At 55.0% G+C, this 24,626-nt stretch overlaps 1 protein-coding gene across 2 annotated transcripts in view, besides 1 other annotated feature; it reads left to right on the plus strand.

Moving 5' to 3' along the window:
* MYO9B (myosin IXB) overlaps positions 1-24,626 on the plus strand; it is a 137,510-nt gene that overhangs the window by 108,288 nt on the left and 4,596 nt on the right. For both annotated transcript variants that reach the window (NM_001130065.2, NM_004145.4), the window contains exons 17-35: positions 801-923; positions 1,857-1,937; positions 3,871-3,981; positions 7,033-7,155; positions 8,682-8,998; positions 10,492-11,409; positions 13,728-13,794; positions 14,120-14,244; positions 16,229-16,362; positions 16,575-16,765; positions 17,862-17,960; positions 18,066-18,239; positions 18,778-18,819; positions 19,083-19,194; positions 21,199-21,272; positions 21,896-22,088; positions 22,184-22,312; positions 22,615-22,720; positions 23,049-23,180. In NM_001130065.2, the coding sequence (NP_001123537.1) occupies positions 801-923; positions 1,857-1,937; positions 3,871-3,981; positions 7,033-7,155; positions 8,682-8,998; positions 10,492-11,409; positions 13,728-13,794; positions 14,120-14,244; positions 16,229-16,362; positions 16,575-16,765; positions 17,862-17,960; positions 18,066-18,239; positions 18,778-18,819; positions 19,083-19,194; positions 21,199-21,272; positions 21,896-22,088; positions 22,184-22,312; positions 22,615-22,720; positions 23,049-23,180 (3,251 nt within the window). The remainder of the gene's footprint in view (positions 1-800; positions 924-1,856; positions 1,938-3,870; positions 3,982-7,032; positions 7,156-8,681; positions 8,999-10,491; positions 11,410-13,727; positions 13,795-14,119; positions 14,245-16,228; positions 16,363-16,574; positions 16,766-17,861; positions 17,961-18,065; positions 18,240-18,777; positions 18,820-19,082; positions 19,195-21,198; positions 21,273-21,895; positions 22,089-22,183; positions 22,313-22,614; positions 22,721-23,048; positions 23,181-24,626) is intronic.
* Positions 242-451: an enhancer, noted in NCBI's record as "active region_14259". NCBI's record gives its function as "activates an Ori minimal core promoter by ATAC-STARR-seq in GM12878 lymphoblastoid cells {active_cell/tissue: GM12878}" and the evidence as "EXISTENCE:reporter gene assay evidence [ECO:0000049][PMID:35858748]".

Here is a 24,626-nt window from a genome sequence, read left to right on the forward strand (position 1 = left end):
AGATGGGGTATTTGCACACACAGCGGCTTATGGAAGAGGGCTTACGTGAGAAGGCAGAGAGAAGGGGTGAGGGAGGAAGCTAGGGGCGTAAGCATAGCTGAAGTCTGGCCTCAGCCTGGTCCCATGGGGAGCTCTAGTGGGTTCATAGCACCACAGAGCTCATCCTGCCCCAACGTAATGGGACCCTTCCGTTTAACACCCCCATCTTCAGTCCCTGGCTACTGGGCTGCTTCCAGACAGGACAGAGAACCTCCCAAGCGCTCTGTCTCGTTTCCACATACAAGTGCAGCAATTTAAGAAATTTGCAAGAAGAGTAAGAATAGCCTTGCAGTCTAGTTAGCAGATGGGAGAGGGCTAATTCCTCTTGTCAGCTGATAGAACTGGCTGACACATGATGGTGGCCTGTCCGATGAGCTCATGCGGATGGCACAGAAAGGACCTGGCCCTTCTTGACTCAAGTAATGTAAACTGTAGGAGCTATGCAGAGGAGAGGGACGGCCAGGTTCAGTAGCACTGGCTTCCTCTCTAACCCAGAGGAAGAGGAAATGGGGCAGCCACTCAGGCTGTGAAAGAGGCTGTCATCAGCCCTCCCGGAACCAGCGCTGTGTGCAAGGTGCAAACCCACCTCATTCCACTGGGCCCACATCAATAGTGTGGTCCTGAGACCAAACCTAAGAGCTGCTGCCCGGGCACTCGCTGCGGGGACGCTGTTCTGCCCTGGCTTCGGGGACACCTGTGATGCCTCCCCGTGCCCGTGTGGGCTGTGGGAGGGCAGGCCGGACCCCATGTGTCTGTCCTAGAACCTACTGGACTCCAAGTCCCTGAAACTCATCATCAGCATGACTCTGCACGACCGCACCACCAAGTCCCTACTGCACCTGCACAAGAAGAAAAAGCCACCAAGCATCAGCGCCCAGTTCCAGGTAGGTGGAGCAGGAGAGGCAGAAGGTGGCGGTCAGCTCAGCCTCAGGCTTGTGTAGCTTCACCCGACACCGAGCACAGCCCGTCTCTAGTAAAAATACAAAAATTGGCCGGGCGCGGTGGCTCAAGCCTGTAATCCCAGCACTTTGGGAGGCCGAGGCGGGCGGATCACGAGGTCAGGAGATTGAGACCATCCTTGCTAACACGGTGAAACCCCACCTCTACTAAAAATACAAAAATTAGCCGGGCGTAGTGGCGGGTGCCTGTAGTCCCAGCTACTCGGGAGGCTGAGGCAAGAGAATGGCATGAACCCGGGAGGCGGAGCTTGCAGTGAGCCGAGATGGCGCCACTGCACTCCAGCCTGGGCGACAGAGCAAGACTCCATCTCAAAAAAAAAAAAAAAAGATACAAAAATTAGCTGGGCATGGTGGGCACCTGTAATCTCAGCTCCTTGGGAGGCTGAGGCAGGAGAATTGCTTGAACCTGGGAGGCGGAGGCTGTAGTGAGCCAAGATCACGCCATTGCACTCCAGCTTGGGCAACAAGAGCAAGACTGCGTCTCAAAAAAAAAAAAACAAAACAAAACAAAAAAAACACTACATCCGTGGTCCCTTCTGAGGTTGACACATGTTTCAAATCTCCAGAAAGCGTTTGTCTGGTCCTCCCCAGCCCCAGCCTTCCACCTGAGGCAAAAACAAGCACTGGTGGCCCTGGGACCATGGGGACCACATAACTCCCTCGAGGGTTTCCAGGGATAGCGCAGGCTTGGGTCAGAACGTCCAGCTGGAACCTCCTGTGTCCCACCACCAGGGACCCACATCTGTGCAGACCCCATCCACCCCACACTGATGCTAGAGTGTCCCAGGTCTGCTCCCACAGAACAGCGGCTGTCAGGGTCCCTGATTCAACCCAAATGCTTTCTCTTTCCCTTAACAGACATCCCTTAACAAGCTCTTGGAGGCACTGGGGAAGGCGGAGCCCTTCTTTATCCGCTGCATCCGTTCCAATGCTGAAAAGGTGAGTTTCTCTAAGGTGTTTGGGAGGAGAAGGCCCATGCCGGACTCTTAGGGGTGTCGGTGTCCCTGCATCCAGCCCCAGCCTCCACGCAGTATGGGGGACGGTGCAGCAGTCCATCCAGAGGCAGCCGGGGATGGAGAATTAGCAGTGAGGATGGTCCAAGTGGCCATTTAAGAGCAGGGACATCATCTGGAACATGGAGAGGCCCAGAGAAGGTTTGATTAGGGAGCGACAGGTCAGGGGTGCTTTTCAGATACATCCCAAAGAGTAGCCGGTGCAAGGAGTCTACCAGAAGGCAGAGGCTGAGATTACATAGCAGAGTCTCAGAGGCACACACAGCCCGCTGCTCACATTACAAGTTTCTAGAGAGACCCTTGGAGCCCCCGTGGGACCACCAGCAGGGGCTCCAGGCTCAGCACTGGCACAGGCTTCCTTTACCCCAGAGGTCCACTCCATCCCTGGGAGGACAGCTCGGGGACTTTGCCAGGGACTGAGCAGGAGTGTGGGCTCCCAGACAAATGTGAGCACACAGCCAGGCAGGAACCTCCCGCCAACTGTACCTGGGGAGATGCTCCGTAGTGCACCTTCTCTGCTCGTGGGCTGTGCCAGCAGATGATTCTCTGTGATAAAACCCATTTTGTGCACTGGAGGGTGGCAGCATCCCTGGCCTCCACATCCACCCCCAGTCATGACAACCCTCCTCATTCTTTCCCGTTTGCCTTTGTTTGTTTTTGTTTGTTTGTTTTTGAGACAGAATCTCCCTCTGTCACCCAGGCTGGAGTACAGTGGTGCGATCTCGGCTCACTGCAGCCTCGACCTCCCAGGTTCAAGCCATCCTCCTGGCTCACCCTCCCAAATAGCTGGGATTACAGGTGCCCACCACGCCAAGCTAATTTTTGTATTTTTAGTAGAGACGGGGTTTCACCATGTTGGCCAGGCTGGTCTTGAACTCCTGACTTCAAGTGATCCACCCATTTCAGCCTCCCAAAGTGCTGGGATTACAAGCGTAAGCCACCGCGCCCAGCACCGTTTGTCTTTATAGCAACACCATGCCTTATCCCTTACTGCCCACCAGAGTGAAGTCCAGACCCCTAAGCTCCAGGCTTAAAGCCCACTGAGGCAGCTGCATTTCCAGCCTCTTCTCTCCCCTGGCAGGAAGCATCTCCCTGTGTCCCCATCAGACCCTTGGCTTCTTCCTTCTCCTGTGGGCCTCCACCCAGCTGTTCTCTGCCTGTTCCCTCCTCAGGACACAGCCCAGCATCTCCTCTCTCCTGGGACACCTCCCATGGGGTGCTGGGCTTTGTCCGCCCCATCACCTGTGTGTGACTCCTGACCCCAGACCAAGCTCTCCTCTCCACCGAATCCCCAGCACTTACCCCAGTGCCTGGCAGAGAACAGGCCCGGAACACTGGGCTTTGTCCGCCCCATCACCTGTGTGTGGCTCCTGCCCCCAGACCAAGCTCTCCTCTCCACCGAATTCCCAGCACTTACCCCAGTGCCTGCCACAGAGAACAAGCCCAGAACAGATTTGCATTTGGGTTCTTTTTTTTTTTCTTTTCTTTTTTCTTTCTTTTTTTTTTAAAAAATAAATTTAAATGACTAGAGATGGAGTCTCACTATGTTGCCCAGGCTGGTCTCGAACTCCTGGCCTCAACTGATCCTCCCATCTTGGCCTCATTCCAGAAAGAGTGTCTGGAGCAAGGACGGACCCCTTGTCCAGGTGCTCCTGGCTGCCGTGCCGTAGAACACTCCCAGGTCGGCTAGCCAGCACCCACGTGTGCACCCTGACCATGTCTGTGTTCGGCATCCCAAGAGGCAGTGGTCGCATGGGGAAGTGCCCTCATCTCACAGTTCCCAGGCCTGAGCCAGCAACAGACTTGGGCATCCTGTCAGGTCAAGGCCACCTGCCTGATGTCTCGCATTCCCATTTCAGAAAGAGCTGTGCTTTGACGACGAGCTGGTCCTGCAGCAGCTGCGCTACACCGGCATGCTGGAGACCGTGCGCATCCGGAGGTCAGGGTACAGCGCCAAGTACACGTTCCAGGTAGGCCACAAGCACATATACCTGGACACACCTGTTCCGTGGCAAAGGCAATCACCCTCTTCCAAAGAGAGCTCCTTGCTGGAGTGTAAACTCAGCAGGTTGGCCAGGTGCAGTGGCTCACGCCTGTAATCCCAGCACCTTGGGAGGCTGAGGCAGGCGGATCACCTGAGGTCAAGAGTTCAAGACCAGCCTGACCAACATGGTGAAACCCCATCTCTACTAAAAATACAAAAATTAGCCGGGTGTGGCAGCAGCTGCCTGTATTCCTAGCTACTGAGGAGGCTGAGGCAGGAGGATCCCTTGAATCCAGGAGGCAGAGGTTGCAGTGAGCCAAGATTGAGCCACTGCACTCCAGCCTGGGCAACAGAGCAAGACTCCATCTCAAAAAAAAAAAAAAAAAAAAAAGAAGAAACCCCTGCCTCATGCCAAGAGCTAGTACCTGTGTCACCCTGAGCCCAAAGCCAGAGGTGACAGCGCCTGGTTCCCTTTCACGCTTTCCCTTCATAGCCCCAGGGACTAGAATGTAATGTGCCTCTTTTCTCATCCACTGAATAGAAATAGTGTCTTTCTAATCCTATGCGGATAAGAAAAGCAAAATTATAAAAAATGCAGAAATGCTGGTGTATTTTACCAGTGCTTGGCCCTTAAATATTTGAAATAATAATTTACTCAAAAGAAATGTTCTGGGCGGGTGTAGTGGCACACGCCTGTAATCCCAACACTTTGGGAGGCCAATGCAGGAGGATCAATTGAGCCTAGGAGTTTGAGACCAGCCTGGACAACATAGTGAGACCCCATCTCTGCAAAAAATTTAAAAATCAGCTGGGCACAGTGGCTCACACCTATAATTCCAGCATTTTGGGAGGCCAAGGCAGGTGGATCACTTGAGATCAGGAGTTCGTTACCAGCCTGACCAACATGGTGAAACCCCGTCTCTACTAAAAATACAAAAAAAAAAAAAAAAAATTAGCCAGGCATGGTGGGGCACACCTGTAACCTCAGCTACTTGGGAGGCTGAGGCAGGAGAATTGCTTGAACCCGGGAGATGGAGGTTGCAATAAGCCGAGATCACGCCATTGCACTGCAGCCTGGCCAACAAGAGCAAAACTCTGCCTCAAAAAAAAAAAAAAATTAGCCAGACAAGGTGGTATGCACCTGTGGTCCCAGCTACTCAGGAGGCTGAGGTGAGAAGATCACTTGAACCCAAGTAGTTTGAGGCTACAGTGAGTTATGACTGAGCCACTGCATTCCAGCCTGGATGGCAGAGCAAGACCCTGTCTTAAAACAAAACAAAACAAAACAAAACTAGAGGCCCAGTGTGGTGGCTCATGCCTGTAATTAGCACTTTGGGAGGGCAAGGCAGGCAGATTGCTTGAGCTCAGGAGCTTAAAATCAGTCTAGGCAACATGGTGAAACCCCGTCTCCACATAAAAATACAAAAGCCAGGCGTGCTGGCATGCAATGTACTTCCAGCTACTTGCGGGGCTGAGGCAGGAGGATTGCTTGAGTCTGGGAGGTTGAAGGTGCAGTAAGCCATGTTTGCACCACTGCACTCCAGCCTGGGCAAGACTCCGTCTCAAAAAAAAACATGTTCCTCCAGCTACAATCTAACTCCCCCACAAGTCCTAGACTGTAAGCCCCATTGCAAGGGTGACTGTGGTTCCCAGCCACCTCGACCATCTAAAAGATCTAGGACCTTGTATCTGCAGTGGTCTTTCTTAAGATTACAGACTGTTGGCTGGGCGCAGTGGCTCATGCTTGTAATCCCAGCACTTTGGGAGCCTGAGGCGGGCGGATCACGAGGTCAGGAGATCGAGACCATCCTGGCTACCACGGTGAAACCCCGTCTCTACTAAAAAAAATTTAAAAATTAGCCGGGAGAGGTGGCGGGTGCCTGTAGTCCCAGCTACTCGGGAGGCTGAGGCAGGAGAATGGTGTGAACCCGGGAGGAGGAGCTTGCAGTGAGCCAAGATTGTGCCACTGCAGCCCAGCCTGGGCGGCAAAACAAGACTCCGTCTCAAAAAAAAAAAAAAAAAAGATTACAGACTGTTGACCTGGCATGGTGGCTCACACCTGCAATCCTAGCACTTTGGGTCACGTGACCCATTTACCACTGCACCCAGCTGAGAACCCATTTCTTTGGTTTTTTGTGTGTGTGATGGGGGTGGTGCAGAGCCTTGCTCTGTCGCCCAGGCTGGAGTACAGTGGTGTGATCTCGGCTCACTCCAACCTCCATCTCCCGGGTTCAAGTGATTCTCCTTCCTCAGCCTCTCCAGTACATGGGGTTACAGGCGCCTGCCACCATTCCTGGCTAATTTTGGTAGAGACAGGGTTTTGCCATGTTGGCCAGGCTGGTCTCATTGGTTGAGCTCAGGAGTTCGATACCAGCCTTGGCAACATGGCAAAACCCTGTCCCTACAAAAATATTTTTTTAATTAGCTGGGCATGGTGGCTACAGGACTATGTGCCGTAGTCCCAGCTTCCAGGGAGACTGAGGCAGGAGGCTCACTTGAGCCCAGGAGGTCAAGGCTGCAGTGAGCTGAGATCACACCACTGCACTCCAGCCTGGGTAACAAAGTGAGACCCCGTCTCAAAAAAAAAAAAAAACAGACTATTTCTTTTTTTTTTCTTAAGACGGAGTCTCTCTCTGTCGCCCAGGCTGGATTACAATGGCGCAATCTTGGCTCACTGCAACCTCCGCCTCCCAGGTTCAAGTGATTCTCCTGCCTCAGCCTCCCAAGTAGCTGGGACTACAGGTGTCTGCCACCATGCCCGGCTAAGTAGAGATGGGGTTTCACCATGTTGGCCAAGCTGGTCTCGAACTCCTGACCTCAGGTGATCCACACACCTCGGCCTCCCAAAGTGCTGGGAGTACAGGTGTGAGCCACCACACCCGGCCCAGACTATTTCTGAAAGCCTGAAATTTTAGATTTGTCATTACCATTCCTGTCAAACCCAGCTTCACCTTAACCAGGGTCACCAGATCTCTGTCTCCTCATCGCTGGCCAGAACACTCACCTAGATTTTCCTTTCTCCACCCAAATAACCTAGGATTTCACCGAGCAGTTCCAGGTGCTCCTGCCCAAGGATGCCCAGCCCTGCAGGGAGGTCATCTCCACCCTCCTGGAGAAAATGAAGATAGACAAGAGGAACTACCAGATCGGGAAGACCAAGGTCAGCGCTCCTGCCCCTCGGGGCACTACAAACCCACACCCTGCCTTCCACCGCACACCGTGTCTCCCCAGGCCCCCAGGGCCACTCTCTGAAACATACAGGGCTCTGTCTAGGAAATGCATTTCTCGGGACCCAGCAGAGCACTGCACCTAAGGGATAGGGGCCGCCCTGGCTGAGCCCCACCTGCTGTTCTTCAGCAGGGCTCAGCGACTCCCTCCGCGTCACCTGTTTATTGCTGCCTCACAGGTAGGAAAGGGACGATCGTGCTAACTGGCAGGATTTAGGAGATGGTCAGTCCCCTTTACGGTATGAGGCAGGAGGTGGCCTGCACTTGTCCTCCCTTTCAGAGACTGTCTCCCATCTCTGGGCATGTGTTTGCCTCTTGCTATGGGAGCATTACTCAGCCACCCTTGTTTAACAAGCGCCAAGGTCAGTCCCCCTGAAGGCCTCACCTGGTGTAAAAAATTCCCTTCCAGCCAAGCGAGGTGGCATGCACGCAGAGTCCCAGCTACTTGAAAGGCTGAGGTGGGAGGATCCCTTGAGCCCAGGAGTTTGAGACCAGCCTGGGAAACATAGCGAGACCCCATCTCTATACAATATTTAAAAATTAGCCAAGCGTGGTGGCATGCACCTGTGGTCTCAACTGCTTGGCAGGCTGAGGCAGGAGTTTGAGACTGCAGTGAGCCCTGATTGCACCACTGCACTTCAGCCTGGGTGACCGAGCGAGATCTCATTTCTTTTTTCTTTTTTGTTTTTATTTTTGAGACAGAGTCTTGCTCTGTTGCCCAGACAGGTGGTGTGATCTCAGCTCACTGCAACCTCCGTCTCCCAGGTTCAACTGGTTCTCCTGCCTCAGCCTCCAAGCAGCTGGGATTACAGGTGCCCGCCACCACACCTGACTAATTTTTGTATTTTTAGTAGAGACAGGGTTTTATTACAGGCACACACCTGTAGTCCCAGCTACTCGGGAGGCTTAGGCAGAAGAATCGCTTGAAACCGGGAGGCGGAGGTTGCAGTGAGCTGAGATCGGGCCACTGCACTCCAGCCTGGTGAGACTCCATCTCAAAAAAAAAAAAAAAAAGGGGGGGCCACAGCCAGGTGCAGTGGCTCATGCCTGTAATCCCAGCATTTTTGGGAGGCCAAGGCGGGCAGATCACTTGAGGTTGGGAGTTCGAGACCAGCCTGGCCAACATGGTGAAACCCTGTCTGTACTAAAAATACAAAAATTAGCCAGGCCTGGTGATGGGCACCTGTAGTCCCAGCTACTCGGGAGGCTGAGGCAGGAGAATCACTTCAACCCAGTAGGCGGAGGTTGCAGTGAGCCGAGATCATGCCACTGCACTCCAGCCTGGGCGACAGAGTGAGACTCCATCTCAAAAAAATAATAAATAAATAAATAAATAAAGCCCTGGTTGGTCAGCACACCAGCCTAGGTCTCACTCTGGAGTGGGCTATGCAGACCTCCCAGGCACAGAGATGGTGTCAGGGGCAGTGCAGCTGACCCCACCTGACCCCGTGCCCACCAGGTCTTCCTGAAGGAGACGGAGCGGCAAGCCCTGCAGGAGACGCTGCACCGGGAGGTGGTGCGGAAAATCCTGCTGCTGCAGAGCTGGTTCCGGATGGTGCTGGAGCGTCGGCACTTCCTGCAGATGAAGCGGGCCGCCGTCACCATCCAGGCCTGCTGGCGGTCCTACCGGGTCCGGAGGGCGCTGGAGAGGACGCAGGCTGCCGTGTACCTCCAGGCCTCATGGAGGGGCTACTGGCAGCGGAAGCTCTACCGGCACCAGAAACAGAGCATCATCCGCCTGCAGAGCCTGTGTCGGGGGCACCTGCAGCGCAAGAGGTGAGCAGAGCCGGGCCACGCTCCTCGGAATATTCCAGAAGCCAAAAAGGTCACTCACCAAATTGCTGCCCGTGATATACCATCTGGCCTGTGGCACTAAGGGGATGTCATTCTGGACACAGGGAAAGGCTGGTGGGAAACCAGATGCCTAGGCACTCATGGGCTGCAGAGAAGTGCTCCAAGGCTGGCAGGCAGCACTCAGGGACAAAGCCCTGCTTTGCCATTGGCTGCACCCATTCTCTGCCCAGGGACTCCCCTGTACCTGGATCGGTCAGGGAACACCTGGATTCAGGGTTGGAGGGGCTGCCTGGACCAGCCCAACACTCACATGGAGCTGGGGCATCCACCGGGCACAGAGAAGCCCCCAGGAGGATATCAGCAGCTCCCGTCCCAGCACCCACAGCTCCGAGCCCAGCCCCTCCCCGACCTAGGCACCCTGTTCACCTCTCCCCTGCCCACACAGACCCAGCTCTGCCACAAGTCAGGTCCCAGCTCCCGGAGCAGGCCCTACCCACACATGCAAAAGCCTCCTAGGCCAGGTGCAATGGCTCATGCCTGTAATCCCAACACTTTGGGAGGCCTAGATGGGAAGATCGCTTGAGCACAGGAGTTCAAGACCAGCCTGGCCAATATAGCAAGATGCCATCTCTACACAAAATTAAAGACTTAGCCAGGTGTGGTGGTACACACCTGTAGTCCCAGCTATTCAGGAAGCTGAGGTGGGAGGATCACCTGGGCCTGGGATGTCGAGGCTGCAGTGAGCTATGATCACACCACTGCACTCCAGCCTAAGTGACAGAGCCAGACACTGTCTCTAAAAGCAAAACAGGCTGGGCATAGTGGCTCACACCTGTAAGGCCAGCACTTTGGGAGGCCAAGGCAGGCAGATCACATGAGGCCAGGAGTTGGAGACCAGCCTAGCCAACATGGCAAAACCCCATCTTACGAAAAATACAAAAATTTGCCGGGCTTGGTGGTGCATGTCTATAATCTCAGTTACTAGGGAGGCTGAGACACAAGAATCACTTGAACCCGGGAGGCAGAGGTCGCAGCAAGCCAAGATCGTGCCACTGCATTCCAGCCTGGACAACAGAGCGAGACTCTGTCTCAAAAATAAAATAAAATAAAATAAAATAAAAGCAAAACAAAAAGCCTCCTAGAAAAAGACCCAAGGGAAAGCCCACAGTGGACCCCAAAGGAGTTTGAGGCTTCTTAATAGAACCCACCCACCACAGCCCCAACAAGGGTCCTCTCCCCTAACAAGGCAGCCAGGCAGACGCAGGGCAGGGGTATCTGTGACACTGAGGGGGCACCACCCTCAGCCTCCTTTCCTGATCGAGGAGATTCCTGCTTTCCAGAAGCATCTCTCAGGGCCACTGGGCACAGGCGAAGCCCCGTCTGCAGCCCGCAGGCTGGGGGTCCCATCGGAACTCAGTGGGAGGTGGAGGGAGTGTTTGTTTCTGAACCAGCTGTCTGCTTTTTCCTCACTCCAGCTTCAGCCAGATGATCTCGGAGAAGCAGAAGGCAGAAGAGAAGGAGAGGGAAGCCCTGGAAGCCGCAAGAGCAGGTGCTGAGGAGGGCGGACAGGGTCAGGCGGCTGGAGGGCAGCAGGTAGCTGAGCAGGGGCCGGAGCCAGCGGAGGATGGCGGGCACCTGGCATCGGAGCCTGAGGTGCAGCCAAGTGACAGGTCCCCCCTAGAGCACTCCTCACCTGAGAAGGAGGCCCCAAGCCCAGAGAAGACTCTCCCACCCCAGAAAACCGTGGCGGCTGAAAGTCACGAGAAAGTCCCCAGCAGCCGGGAGAAGCGTGAGTCGCGTCGGCAAAGAGGGCTGGAGCACGTCAAGTTCCAGAACAAACACATCCAGTCCTGCAAGGAGGAGAGTGCCCTCAGAGAACCTTCCAGAAGGGTCACCCAGGAGCAAGGGGTGAGTCTCCTGGAAGACAAAAAGGAGAGCAGAGAAGATGAAACCCTTCTAGTCGTAGAGACGGAGGCTGAGAACACATCTCAAAAGCAGCCCACAGAGCAACCCCAGGCCATGGCAGTTGGCAAGGTCTCTGAAGAAACTGAGAAGACGCTGCCCAGTGGGAGCCCCAGGCCTGGCCAGTTGGAGCGGCCGACCAGCCTGGCCCTGGACAGCAGGGTCAGCCCACCGGCCCCTGGCAGCGCCCCCGAGACCCCCGAGGACAAGAGCAAACCATGTGGCAGCCCAAGGGTTCAGGAAAAGCCCGACAGCCCCGGAGGCTCCACGCAGATCCAGCGGTACCTGGACGCCGAGCGGCTGGCCAGCGCCGTGGAACTGTGGCGGGGCAAGAAGCTGGTGGCCGCCGCCAGCCCTAGTGCCATGCTCAGCCAGTCCCTGGACCTCAGCGACAGACACCGGGCCACAGGGGCCGCCCTCACGCCCACAGAGTAAGCCCCACACCCTCTTTTGTCTGAGCACCAGGGTCCAGGCCAGGTGGGCAAGGCCAGGGGCAGTGCCACACATCCTGGAAACACATGTGTAATCATGCCCAGTGGGTGTGCGGGAGGCCTGAGGGAGGAGGACGAGCAGGACATGCTAAAGACCAAGTGAAGACAAGGCAGCCAGCCAGGGCCCAGGCTGGGACCTGGAGCCTTGAGGGGTCCCCAGAAGGAGCTGTGCTCACACAGAAAGGCCCCGGCCTTGAGAGAGGTGGCTCCTCAGGTCAAGGTCCCTGCTGCCCAGAAATCTTGGGCCTTGGTTTCTAATTGGTGAACAGGACTAACTGCACTCCTCGGGGTTAAAGGAGCAGGGGCTTGCTCTGCCTGAGCCTTAGTAAGCCAAGTGTCAGTGACTTGGAATCTCCAGCTCCCTCTTCCAGAGGGCCTGCAGGACCAAAGGAAAGAAATCAGGGAGGAGACAGGCCTTCCCTGCAGCAGGCCTGCTCAGCCTCCCACTGCTCGTATTGGGGGCCAGATCATTCTCTGCGGTGGGGGCTGTCCTGTGTATCATAAGATGTTGAGCAGCATCCCTGGCCTCCACTTACCACATGCCAGGAGTATTATCGATAGATGATGGATGGAGGGAGGGAGGGAGAGAGAGAGAGAGGGAAGGATGTGTGGGTGGGTGGGTGGGTGGGTGGATGGATGGAAGATAGAGATGATGGAAGGATGGATGGAAGGAAGATAGAGATGATGGAGGGATGGATGGATGGAAAATGATAGAGGTGATGAATGGAAGACAGATATAGATGATGGATGGATGGAAGATACACATGATGGATGAAGGGATGGATAGATAGAAGACAGGTAGTAATGATGGATAGAGGCATGGATGGATGGATGATACAGATGATGGGGAGATGGATGGATAGAAGATGGGTAGAAATTAGGCTGGGCGCGATGGCTCATGCCTGTAATCCCAGCATTTTGGGAGGCCAAGAGTTTGAGAGGAGTTCGAGACCAGCCTGGCCAACATAGTGAAACCCTGTCTCTACTAAAAATACAAAAATTAGCTGGGCGTGGTGGCGCATGCTTGTAATCCCAGCTACTTGGGAGGCTGAGACAGGAGAATCGCTTGAACCTGGGAGGCAGAGGTTGCAGTGAGCCGAGATCAAGTCACTGCACTCCAGCCTGGATGACAGAGATGAGACTCCGTCTCAAAAAAAAAAAAAAAGTAGAGATTATGGATAGAAGGAAGATAGATGCCGACGATAGATGGATGGAAGGAAGATAGGTAGGTAGAGACAATGAATGGAGGGATGGAAGATAGGTAGAGATGATGGATGGCTGGGTGGGTGGATGGATGGATGGATGGACAGACAGAAGGATGGGTGGATGGCTGGAAGATAGAGATGGAGAGATGGAAGGAACATAGAGTTGATGGATGGAGGGATGGATAGATGATAGGTAGATTATGGATGGGAGGAAGATAGAGATGATGGAGGGACGGATGGGTAGAAGATAGGTAGAGCCGGGTTCGGGGGCTCACACCTATAATCCCAACACTTTGAGAGGCTGAGGCGGGTGGATCACCTGAGGTCAGGAGTTTGAGACCATCCTGGCCAACGTGGCGAAACCCCGTCTCTACTAAAAATACCAAAAATTAGCTGGATGTGTTGGCGCATGCCTCTAATCCCAGCTACTCGGGAGGCTGAGGCAGGAGAATCACTTGAACCTGGGAGGCAGAGGTTGCAGTGAGCCGAGATCACACCATTGCACTCCAGCCTGGGCAACAAGAGCAAAACTCCGTCTAAAAAAAAAAAAAAGATAGATAGAGATGACAGATGAAGAGATGGATGGAAGGCAGATAAAGAGGATGGATGGGTGGAAGATAGAGACAATGAGTCAATGAGTAGAAGGATGGATGGATGGATAGATAGATGATAGATAGATAGATAGATAGATAGATAGATAGATAGATAGATACATAGATAGATAGATGGGCAGGCAGGCAGGGTCTCTTGGGCTAAGGCAAGGTTTCCTACCCTCCACACTCAACATCTGGGGCTGGCTCACTCTCTGGGGTGGAGACCATTCTCTGTAGGGTATTGAGTAGCATCCCTGCCCTCCACTCACCAGAGGCCAGAAGTACCCACCCACTCCTTTCCCCCCACCCAAGTGGTGACAACCAAAACTGTCTCTAGACATTGCCAAGTGTCCCCTGGCAGGGGCAGAACTGCCCAAGTGAGAACCCAAGAACCACTAAGACAAGAAAATGCCACTGACTCACTCTAGTCAGTAAAAGCCATGTTTCTGTGATCTCGCAGGGAGAGGCGCACCTCCTTCTCCACGAGCGACGTCTCCAAGCTCCTCCCGTCCCTGGCCAAGGCTCAGGTAACAACAACACGGCAAAACCCCGTCTCCACTAAAAATACAAAAATCAGCCAGGCGTGGTGGCGCTTGCCTGTAACCCCAGCTACTCAGGAGGCTGAGGCGAGAGAATCGCTTGAACGCAGTGGCAGGGTAGAGGTTGTAGTGAGCCTCGCGAGACCAGGCCACTGCACTCCAGCCTGGGCAACTAGAGTGAGACTCCGTTTCAAAAAAAAAAAAAGCAGGAAGTGAGGTCGGTGGATGGAGTGTAAATGCCTGCAGGGGCTTCCCCATCTAGCACAGGACTGCCAGCCTTTCCTTAGCAGCCCCCCACTGCACCGTCTTGCAGCCTGCAGCAGAAACCACGGACGGAGAGCGAAGTGCGAAAAAGCCAGCTGTCCAGAAGAAGAAGCCAGGCGACGCATCCTCCCTCCCAGACGCAGGGCTGTCCCCGGGCTCTCAGGTCGACTCTAAGTAAGTATTGGGCTTGGGGGAAACTCAGGCCACCAGAGGATGCCCGGGGTCCCTGCCAGGGCCTCGCAGCAGTGTGGCCTCCTAAACCAATCACGTTTACAAAGCACGTTCGCAAAGGCATTTGCTCAGTAGAAACTGAATGGGGAGGCCAGGCAGTGGCTCACGCCTATAATCCCAGCACTTTGGGATGCCGAGACGGGTGGATCACTTGAGGTCAGGAGTTGGAGACCAACCAGGCCAACATGGTGAAACCCCATCTCTACTAAAAATACAAAAATTAGTTGGGCATGATGGCAGGCACCTATAATCCCAGCCACTCGGGAGGCTGAGGCAGGAGAATCGCTTGAACTCGGGAGGTGGAGGTTGCAGTGAGCTGAGATCATGCCACTGCACTCCAGCCTGGGTGACAGAGGGAGACTCCGTCTCAAAAAAAAAAAAAAAAAAAAAAAGCCTCTAGGGCAGGATCCTTCCTGCCTCTTCTGGCTTTTGGGGGCTCCAGGTGTTCCTTGGCTTGTGGCTCCATCACTCTAATCTCTGTCTCTATCGGCACTTGGCCTTCCCCTCAGTGTCTGTGTCTTCTGTCTTCTGTCCCTTAAAAGGACACGTGGCTGAATGGATGCAGTAGGTCACGCCTGTAATCTCAACACTTTGGGAGGCCAAGGTGGGATGATCACTTGAAGCCAGGAGTTCAAGATCAGCCTGGGCAGCGTGGCAAAATCTTGTCTCTGCAAAAAAATTTCAAAAATTAGCCAGGCAGGGCGGTGCATGCCTGTAGTCCCAGCTACTCAGGAGGCTGAAACAGGAGGATCCCTTGAGGCCAAGAGATCAAGCCTGCAGTGAACTGTGATCATACCACTGCACTCCAGCCTGGGCAAGAGAATGACACTCTGTCTCAAAAAAACTTTTTTTTTAACTTAAAAAGATAATGAGCTAGGCGCATGGCTTGTACCTATAATCCCAACAACTCAGGAGGCTGAGGTGAGAGGATCATGCTCGTGAGGCCAGGAGTTTGAGGCTGTAGCGAGCTATGATCACACCACTGCACTCCAGACTGAGTCACACCCCAACTGGAACAAAAAGAAAAGAAAATGGAGTCCCCCTGTGGCTTCTGTTTGGTATCCTTCTTTCTTCACATAACTCCCCTGCCAGTACAAAGAAAGGGCTATTGCTCTTTATAAGATAATCCTGTGTTGTTTTTTTGTTTGTTTTTTTTTTGAGACAGAATCTTGCTCTGTTGCCCAGTCTGGCAGTCTGGAGTGCAATGGCTCAATCTCCGCTCACTGCAGCCTCCACCTCTCAGGCTCAAGCGATTCTCCTGCCTCAGCCTCCCAAGTAGCTGGGAGTACAGGTGTGCACCACCATGCCCAGCTAATTTTTTTTTCTTTTTTTTTCTTTTTTTTTTTTTTTGTATTTTTGGTACAGAAGGGGTTTCGCTATGTTGCCCAGCCTGGTCTCAAACTCCTGGGCTCAGCTGATCCACCCACCTCAGCCTGCCAAAGTGCTGAGATTACATAGGCGTGAGCCACCATACCCAGCCAGATCCATTTTTGTTTTTGTTTTTTGTTTTTTTTTTTGAGACAGAGTCTCACTCTGTCACCCAGGCTGGAGTGCAATGGTGCGATCTCAGCTCACTGCAACCTGCAACCTCCACCTCCTGGGTTCAAGCAATTCTCCTGCCTCAACCTCCCAAGTAGCTGGGACTACAGGAACCCACCATCACGCCCTGCTATTTTTTTGTATTTGTAATAGAGACAGGGTTTTGCCATGTTGGCCAGGCTGGTCTCAAACTCCTGACCTCAGATGATCCACCCGCCTGGATCTCCCAAAGTGCTGGGATTACAGGCATAAGCCACCATGCCAGGCCAGATCCTTTTTTGAGTCAGGCATTGATAGAGCATTTGCCATGTGTCCAGTCACAGGGAGGCTGGGCCTCACGTCCATTTTCATTTCAGACTTAAAAGAAGCCACGTACTTTCTCCTGCAGATCCACGTTTAAGAGGCTTTTTCTGCATAAAACCAAGGATAAAAAATACAGCCTGGAGGGCGCAGAGGAGCTGGAGAATGCAGTGTCCGGGCACGTGGTGCTGGAAGCCACCACCATGAAGAAGGGCCTGGAAGGTTGGTAGCCTGCAGCCTCAGGGACAGACAGTAGAGCCACCAGTGCCCCTGGGGACATTCACTGTCCCCAAACGGGGCCTTGAGTTGGCTGTGGGCCAAGCCCTAGGCACAGAGCCAGGGGTTTCTGGCCCTGGATAAAGGCGTGCCATAGGAGGTCCCCTGCATCCTCCCCCTGAACCCACCCTCACCGGCTGCTTCCTGTCCCCCCTCAGCCCCCTCCGGACAGCAGCATCGCCACGCTGCAGGTGAGAAGCGCACCAAGGAACCAGGAGGCAAAGGGAAGAAGAACCGAAATGTCAAGATTGGGAAGATCACAGTGTCAGAGAAGTGGCGGGAATCGGTGTTCCGCCAGATCACCAACGCCAATGAGCTCAAGTACCTGGACGAGTTCCTGCTCAACAAGGTGGGATCACTAGGCGAGGGCCAGGGGCATGAGGCCCGGTCCCCAGGGGAACCATCACAGCCAGGCATTGTTTTCTGAAACACACAACACAGGGTTTAGCAGGTCAAGAATACAAAGTCCAGGCTCAGGCCGGGGACAGTGGTTCATGTTTGTCATCCCAGCACTCTGGGAGGCTGAGACAGGAGAATCACTTGGGCCCAGCAGTTCAAAACCAGCCTGGGCAACAGAGAGACCCCATCTCTACAAAAGGTTTAAATATTAGCTGGAGTGGTGGTGCACACCTGTAGTCCCAGCTCCTGGGGGCTGAGGCAGGAAGATCGCTTGAGCCCAAGAGGTCGAGGCACCACAAGCCACGATCGCAGCACTGCACTCCAGCCTGGGTGACAGAGCAAGACCCTGGCTCAAAAAAAATAATAATGCATATTTGGTCTCAAAGCAAAGATTGATGAAGCACTGTGTGCAACAGAAGTGGAGGCGAACAAGCTGTGGCTGCCCTCAGGAGGGTTATACCCCGTGGGGGTGGGGGGTGGGCAATCCTGCAGCAGATAGAGCTACATTTGGGAGCTGCACAGCGGGCACAGGGGGCCGATGGGGACACAGAAGGATCAGGAAACCCTGCTAGGAGTAGAGGCATCTTGAAATTACCAGGCCATTCCAGGCATCCCCATCCTAAGGTATGGCTGGGTGTTGAGCCCCTGTGTGGGGCAGCAGGAAGGGCCTGAACTGACCTGTAGCTCTCATCTAGGGGGGATTCTGTCCGCCAGGGAACACTGGCAATGTCTGGGGACATTGGGGTTATCACAGCCTCAGGGGAGGGCGCTGTTGGCATCTGGTGGGTGGAGGCCAGGGATGCTGCTTAACCTGCTGTGGTACACAGGGCAGGCCCCAATGTGGAGAGTAGTCCTGCCCTCAATGTCAGTGGCTTTAACTCTGGGTTGACAAGATGAGAGACCAGGCTTGGCCAGAGGGACTGGATTTTATCCCGAGAGCCTAGGGGATGACTTAAGAGAGGATAGAAGTGACCCCTTGGGCACCTCCTCGGGTACGCAGGTCCCCAGGCCTGAGGCACGCAGGGTCAGTTCCTCTCCCCTTCCAGATAAATGACCTCCGTTCCCAGAAGACGCCCATTGAGAGCTTGTTTATCGAAGCCACCGAGAAGTTCAGGAGCAACATCAAAACGATGTACTCTGTCCCGGTATGTGGCGGCCCGGCCTTCAGCCTTTCCCATACCCTGCTCAGACCCGTCATTCCCATCCGCCCCTTGCCCAGGCCTGCAGGGTGACGCCTAGCATTCCTACAGAACGGGAAGATCCACGTGGGCTACAAGGATCTGATGGAGAACTACCAGATCGTCGTCAGCAACCTGGCCACTGAGCGTGGCCAGAAGGACACCAACCTGGTCCTCAACCTCTTCCAGTCACTGCTAGATGAGTTCACCCGTGGCTACACCAAGAACGACTTCGAGCCAGTGAAGGTGGGCAGCCCAGCATGCCACGCCCACCTGTGACATGCCACGCCTACCCATGCCTCGCCATCCTTAGCCACGCCCACCCATGCCTCACCATGCTTATGCCACACCCACCCATGCCCTGCCCATACCACAGCCACTGTGCCATGACTTGATCCACTTATGCCATGCTTACCTGTGCCTCACCATGATCACTTATGCCACACCCACCTGACATGCCACACCCACCCATGCCATGCCACGCCTATGACATGCAACATGCTATGCCTACCCATCCCTTGCCATGATTACATGCCATGCCCACCTATACCATGCCGTGCCCATTTGTGCCACACCTACCTCCTGGTGGGGAGCCCTGCACCCTCCCCAACAGAGCCTCACTTCTGGGTCTGGGGTGTCTGAATGGGGGCGTTAGGGACAATGATGCCACTCCAGGTGAGGGAGGGTTCAGGGTACCCACACGCCTGAGTTATGGGGTGCCAGGGGTGGGTTGGGGCTCTTCCCAGGGGGGCCCCCGCCAACCTCCTCCTTGTGTTCCTCACAGCAGAGCAAAGCTCAGAAGAAGAAGCGGAAGCAGGAGCGTGCTGTGAGTAGGCTGCACATAGATGAGAGTCCGAGCAGGCGAACATTGGCAGGAGCATGCACGTGTGTGTCAGTGTCAATGTGCGCATGGGCCCGTCTGCACGCGTATGTGTGCGTGGACACGTGTGAGTGTGTTTTTCCCCCGGCATATACGGAGCCGTAGTCTTGAATAAGTCACCCCTGAGATCCCATGGGTCGTCATCCACCAGTGGCTGGGGAGGGCTGCCTTCCCCTTTCCCTGCCCAGCGCCTTCCTCTGGCCTCACAGGTCCAGGAGCACAACGGGCACGTGTTCGCCAGCTACCAGGTTAGCATCCCGCAGTCGTGCGAGCAGTGCCTCTCCTATATCTGGCTCATGGACAAGGCCCTGCTCTGCAGCGGTGAGTGGCTCCCCCACCAGGCCCCAAAACCCTCCATGTCCCCCACCACCCCTCACTGCTCAAGAGGTCTTCAGGGCCAGGCGGGGTGGCTCACACCTGTAATCCCAGCACTTTGGGAGGCCGAGGCAGGTGGATAACGAGGTCAGGAGTTTGAGACCAGCCTGGCCAAGATGGTGAAACCTCATCACTACTAAAAATACAAAAATTATCTGGGCACAGTAGTGGGCACCTGTAATCCCAGCTACTCGGGAGGCTGAGGCAGGAGAATCACTTGAACCTGGGAGGCGAAGGTTGCAGTGAGTCGAGATCGCGCCACTGCACCCTAACCTGGGCAACAGAGCAAGACTCTGTCTCAAAAAAAAAAAAAAAAAGGTCTTCACCCCAGCCCAGCCACCAGGTCAGATCTTTCTGGACCGTTGTCCCAGCCATATCCCACCCCCTCAAACCGTCCACCATCACCGGAGGAGCAGAGCCCAATTCTCAGCTGGCCCCAAGGCCCCCAGTAGCCAGCACCCACCCACATCTGCAGCCTCCTCTCCTCGTGGGCCCTGCCTCTCTGTCTCTGTACACGCTGCTCCACCGCCTGAACCATCGGCCCCTCCTTCCCCAGGCTCCTCACGGTCCCTCCCCTGTAGGCCAGACTCAGCCCCAGGGGACCCTAAGAGACAGGGCCCAGGAATGACCCAGCTGATCCATGCTCACACAGCTTTGATATGGCCAAGTCAGTACCCAAGCCCAGGCAGCCTCCAGAGGCCCAGCAGGGTCAAGAGGGCCTCTCCTACATGTGTTTTTCTGCCAGAACCATTTGGGCCAGGGTCTTTTCAGCCCAGAAGGCAGCCCCACCACCCCACATCTGTCCAACAGTCAGTTGTCATGGTCCTGAGATAAGGATGCGGGACCCAGGCCCGTCCCCTCACCTGATTCCATCCTTGCCAGGTGCCAGACACTCTCTTCTTTAGCGTAACCAGTGTACCCTCTGCAAGGCGTCAGCTGGGTGGCCTGGGATTCAGTGTGGTTGGAAGAAGGAAAAGCAGCATTGTCTTTGCCCCGTGACATCTTCGTCCCAAGTCCCCAAGGCCACCTCCTGGCAGGACCTTTAGACCTTTAGTTCTGCCAGTAGGTGGCCTTGGGGACTTGGGGCAAGGATGTCACAGGTCCCCACAAACACCTGCTCATGGTTCCGCTAGCCAGGCTGGGTCTGAGGCCATGAATGGCCACCTTGGAGCTATGAAGTTTGTCCACACAGCCTCCTCTCTCAGGAGTCAGGGCACAGGTTCCTGCAGTGTGGGTTTAGAAGTTGGCAGGCCAGGCACAGTGGCTCACACCTGTAATCCCAGCACTTTGGGAGGCTGGGGCGGGAGGGTCGCTTGAACTCAGGAGTTCTAAATCAACCTGGGCAACATGGCAAGACCCCATCTATACAAAAAAAAATACAGAAATTAGCCAGGCACGGTGGTGCACGCCTGTAGTGCCAGCTACTTGGGAGGATCACCTGGGCCTGGGAGGTCAAGGCTCCAGTGAGCTATGATAGTGCCACTGCACTCTAGCCTGGGTGACAGAGTGAGACCCTGTCTCAAAAAGAAAAAGAGAAACCAAAAAGAAGGCAATCCAGGCCAGGTGCAGTGGCTTACGCCTCTAATCCCAACACTTTGGGAGGCCGAGGTGGGCAGATCACCTGAGGTCGGTAGTTCGAGACCAGCCTGACCAGCATGGAGAAACCCTGTCGCTACTAAAAATACAAAATTAGCCAGGCGTGGTGGCGCACACCTGTAATCCCAGCTACTCGGGAGGCCGAGGCAGGAGAATCACTTGAACCCGGGAGGCGGAGGTTGCAGTGAGCCGAGATCACGCCATTGCGCTCTAGCCTGAGAACAAGAGTGAGACTCCATCTCAAAAAAAAAAAAAAAAGAAGGCAATTGGCGGCCCCCGGCCAGCTGGGTGGGTGGCTGCAGGAATCTGGGGTCCCCAGCACCCTCTGTGACTCCCACCCTGTGGACCTCCTAGTGTGCAAGATGACCTGCCACAAGAAGTGCGTGCACAAGATTCAGAGCCACTGCTCCTACACCTACGGGAGGAAGGTGAGTGTACGAGGCCTGGAACTTTCTACAATGACACTCCACTCACGGCCAGGTGCACCAGGAGGTGGTGCTTGATGTGAGGGCCAAGCGAAGCATTGAGCAGCCAGTAGGGGGCGGCTGTGGCCTCTGGTTCTGCAGAACACACCATTGTCCCCGGTTCTGTACAAACTCCTTGAGGCCCTCAGGCAGGGCCCAGGCCTGTGTGTGTGTCTCAGCTCCCCCAGCCCTGCTCATCCTTGCTCCTGAGAGAGTCCTGAGCCATGCAGAGGGAGGCCCCCCAACTCTGTGCATAAGGTTGGGGTCCTGGGTGCTGGGGGTGCAGCAAGAGTCAGGGTCTACTTCTGTGAGGTGGCTGTGGGGGCTAGGTTATAGCTCTCTCCCCACGAAGGACCACCCATGCCTTGGGTGGCCTACAAAGGAAGCCCCTGCCCAGTGGCTGCCATGCTGGCCTTGACTTCTGCAGCCCCACACCCCCAACAACCACGCAGAAGGAGACAGGGAGGGACAGAACAGCAGAGGAAGCCCTGAGGGCCTTGTGCGGGACCAGGAGGCAGAGGCCCCCAGAGACAGCTGGAGAGGAAGACAGCCAGGCCCAGACCTGACCCCCAACCCCGGCACTGCAGGGCGAGCCAGGCGTTGAGCCTGGCCACTTCGGCGTGTGCGTAGACAGCCTGACCAGCGACAAGGCCTCGGTGCCCATCGTGCTGGAGAAGCTCCTGGAACACGTGGAGATGCACGGCCTGTACACCGAGGGCCTCTACCGCAAGTCGGGTGCTGCCAACCGCACTCGGGAGCTCCGGCAGGCGCTGCAGACAGGTGGGCGCTGTGGGCAGGTGGGTGCAGTGCCAGGCCCCAGGCACAGCCGTCCTGCCAGTGCGCCGCTCACCAGACCCACCCCACCCACCCCACAGACCCCGCAGCAGTCAAGCTGGAGAACTTCCCCATCCACGCCATCACAGGGGTGCTGAAGCAGTGGCTGCGGGAGCTGCCCGAGCCCCTCATGACCTTCGCACAGTACGGCGACTTCCTCCGAGCCGTCGGTGAGCCCCATGGCGGTGCGGGTGGCAGCAGGTGGCCACAGCCAGGATACAGCGTTCGCTGTGACCAGCCCAGGAGGCAGGACCACCCAGTTCACAAACTGAGAAACTGAGGCCCAAAGCAGTCGGCCCAGCCAAACCGGGTCCCCAGTTTGGGGTGGGGCCAGGACACCTCTGTAGCCATCCATTCTTGCCTGGGCACCACAGGGTGGATGGCACCTGTGCATCTCAGGTCGTGTTGGTGGGGACAACAGGCACCTTGGGGACCCTTGGGAGCTGACGTCCTCAAACCCCACTGCCTGCAGAGCTGCCGGAGAAGCAGGAGCAGCTGGCTGCCATCTATGCCGTCCTGGAGCACCTTCCAGAAGCCAACCACAACTCCCTGGAGAGACTCATCTTCCACCTTGTCAAGCAAGTGCCTCCCCACCTGCCCTCTGTGGGGTTAGGGTCGCATTGGGAACCCGCGAGGCAGCATTTCCCAGGAGGACCCGAGCTGGCGTTCTGTGGTGGTTTCGAACCAGGATGCAGACCACTGTTGGGGGTTCTGGGAGGGGGCCAGGCTGCTGGGCCGCCCGGGTCCCTTGAGGTACCTCTCTGTGCTGCGGAAGCATCTCCCAGTGCTGGGCTGTGGCACTGCTTTCCCAACAGCCACCCCAGGGCTCAGAAGTTCAGTCTCGGGGCTCCCTGGTACCTCCCTCCCTCGGCCCTAGCCATCCTCTAACTGCCAGTGGCTGTGCAGGGTGGCCCTGCTCGAGGATGTCAACCGCATGTCACCTGGGGCGCTGGCCATTATCTTCGCACCCTGCCTCCTGCGCTGCCCTGACAACTCGGACCCGCTGACCAGCATGAAGGACGTCCTCAAGATCACCACGTGAGTGCCCACCCTGCCCCGGAGGCATGCTCAGGGCAGCCCCACCCAGGACCCCACGACAGCTCCATCCATCCCTGTGTAAATAAATGTGTAAGAAAAGTCCAGAGCCGAGTGCAGCGGTTCACACCTGTAATCCTAGCTACTTTGGGAGGCCAAGGCAAGAGGATCACTTGAGGCCAGGAGTTCGAGACCAGCCTGGGCAACATAGCAAGACCCTACAAAAAATTTGAAATTGGAAATTTGTATTTAAATATAAAAATTTAAATTTCCAAATTTAAATTTTTAAATTCAAATTTTTATTTAAATATAAAAATTTAAATTTTTGTCTCTACAAAAAATTTAAAAATTAGGCCAGGCGTGGTGGCTCACACCTGTAATCCCAGCACTTTGGGAGGGCGAGGTGGGTGGATCACTTGAAGCCAGGAGTTTGAGACCAGCCTGACCAACATGGTGAGACCCCATCTCTATTAAAAATACAAAAATTAGGCTGGACGAGGTGGCTCACGCCTGTAATCCAGCACTTTGGGAGACCGAGACGGGCAGATGACCTGCGGTCGGGAGTTCGAGACGAGCCTGACCAACATGGAGAAATCCTGTCTCTACTAAAAATGCAAAATTAGCCGGGCGTGGTGGCGCATGCCTGTAATCCCAGCTACTTGGGAGGCTGAGGCAGGAGAATCACTTGAATCCAGGAGGCGGAGGTTGCAGTGAGCTGAGATCATGCCATTGCACTCCAGCCTGGGCAACAAAAGCGAAACTCTATCTCAAAAAAAAAAAACAAAATACAAAAATTAGCCAGGCCTGGTGGCATGTGCCTATAATGCCAGCTACTGGGAGGTGGAGGCTACATTGAGCTGAGATCGCACCACTGCACTCCAGCTGGGCAACAGAGTGAGACTCCGTCTCAAAAAGAAAATTTAAAAAAATAAAAAATATATATATAAACTAGCCAGGTGTGGTGGCAGGCGCCTGTAATCCCAGCTACTCGGGAGGCTGAGGCAGGATAATTGCTTGAACCCAGGAGGTGGAGGTTGCAGTGAGCTGAGATCACGCCACTGCACTCCAGCCTGGGCGACAGAGCGAGACTCCGTCTCAAAAAAAAAAAAAAAATCCAGATGGCAGTGGCCCCAGCAGTTGTGTCTTTTTGAATGTGCTTTAATGAGCACACCCCATTGTACTAAAACAGAACTTTTTTTTTTCTTTTTGAGACGGAGTCTCACTCTGTCTCCCAGGCTGGAGTGCAGTGGCACGATCTCGGCTCACTGCAAGCTCCGCCTCCCGGGTTCACGCCATTCTCCTGACTCAGCCTCCCAAGTAGCTGGGACTACAGGCGTCCACCACCACGCCCGGCTAATTTTTTGTATTTTTAGTAGAGACGAGGTTTCACTATGTTAGCCAGGATGTTCTCGATCTCCTGACCTTGTGATCCGCCGTGAGCCACCGCTT

This window comes from Homo sapiens, chromosome 19 (assembly GCF_000001405.40).
Source record: "Homo sapiens chromosome 19, GRCh38.p14 Primary Assembly".
Lineage (NCBI taxonomy): Eukaryota > Metazoa > Chordata > Mammalia > Primates > Hominidae > Homo > Homo sapiens.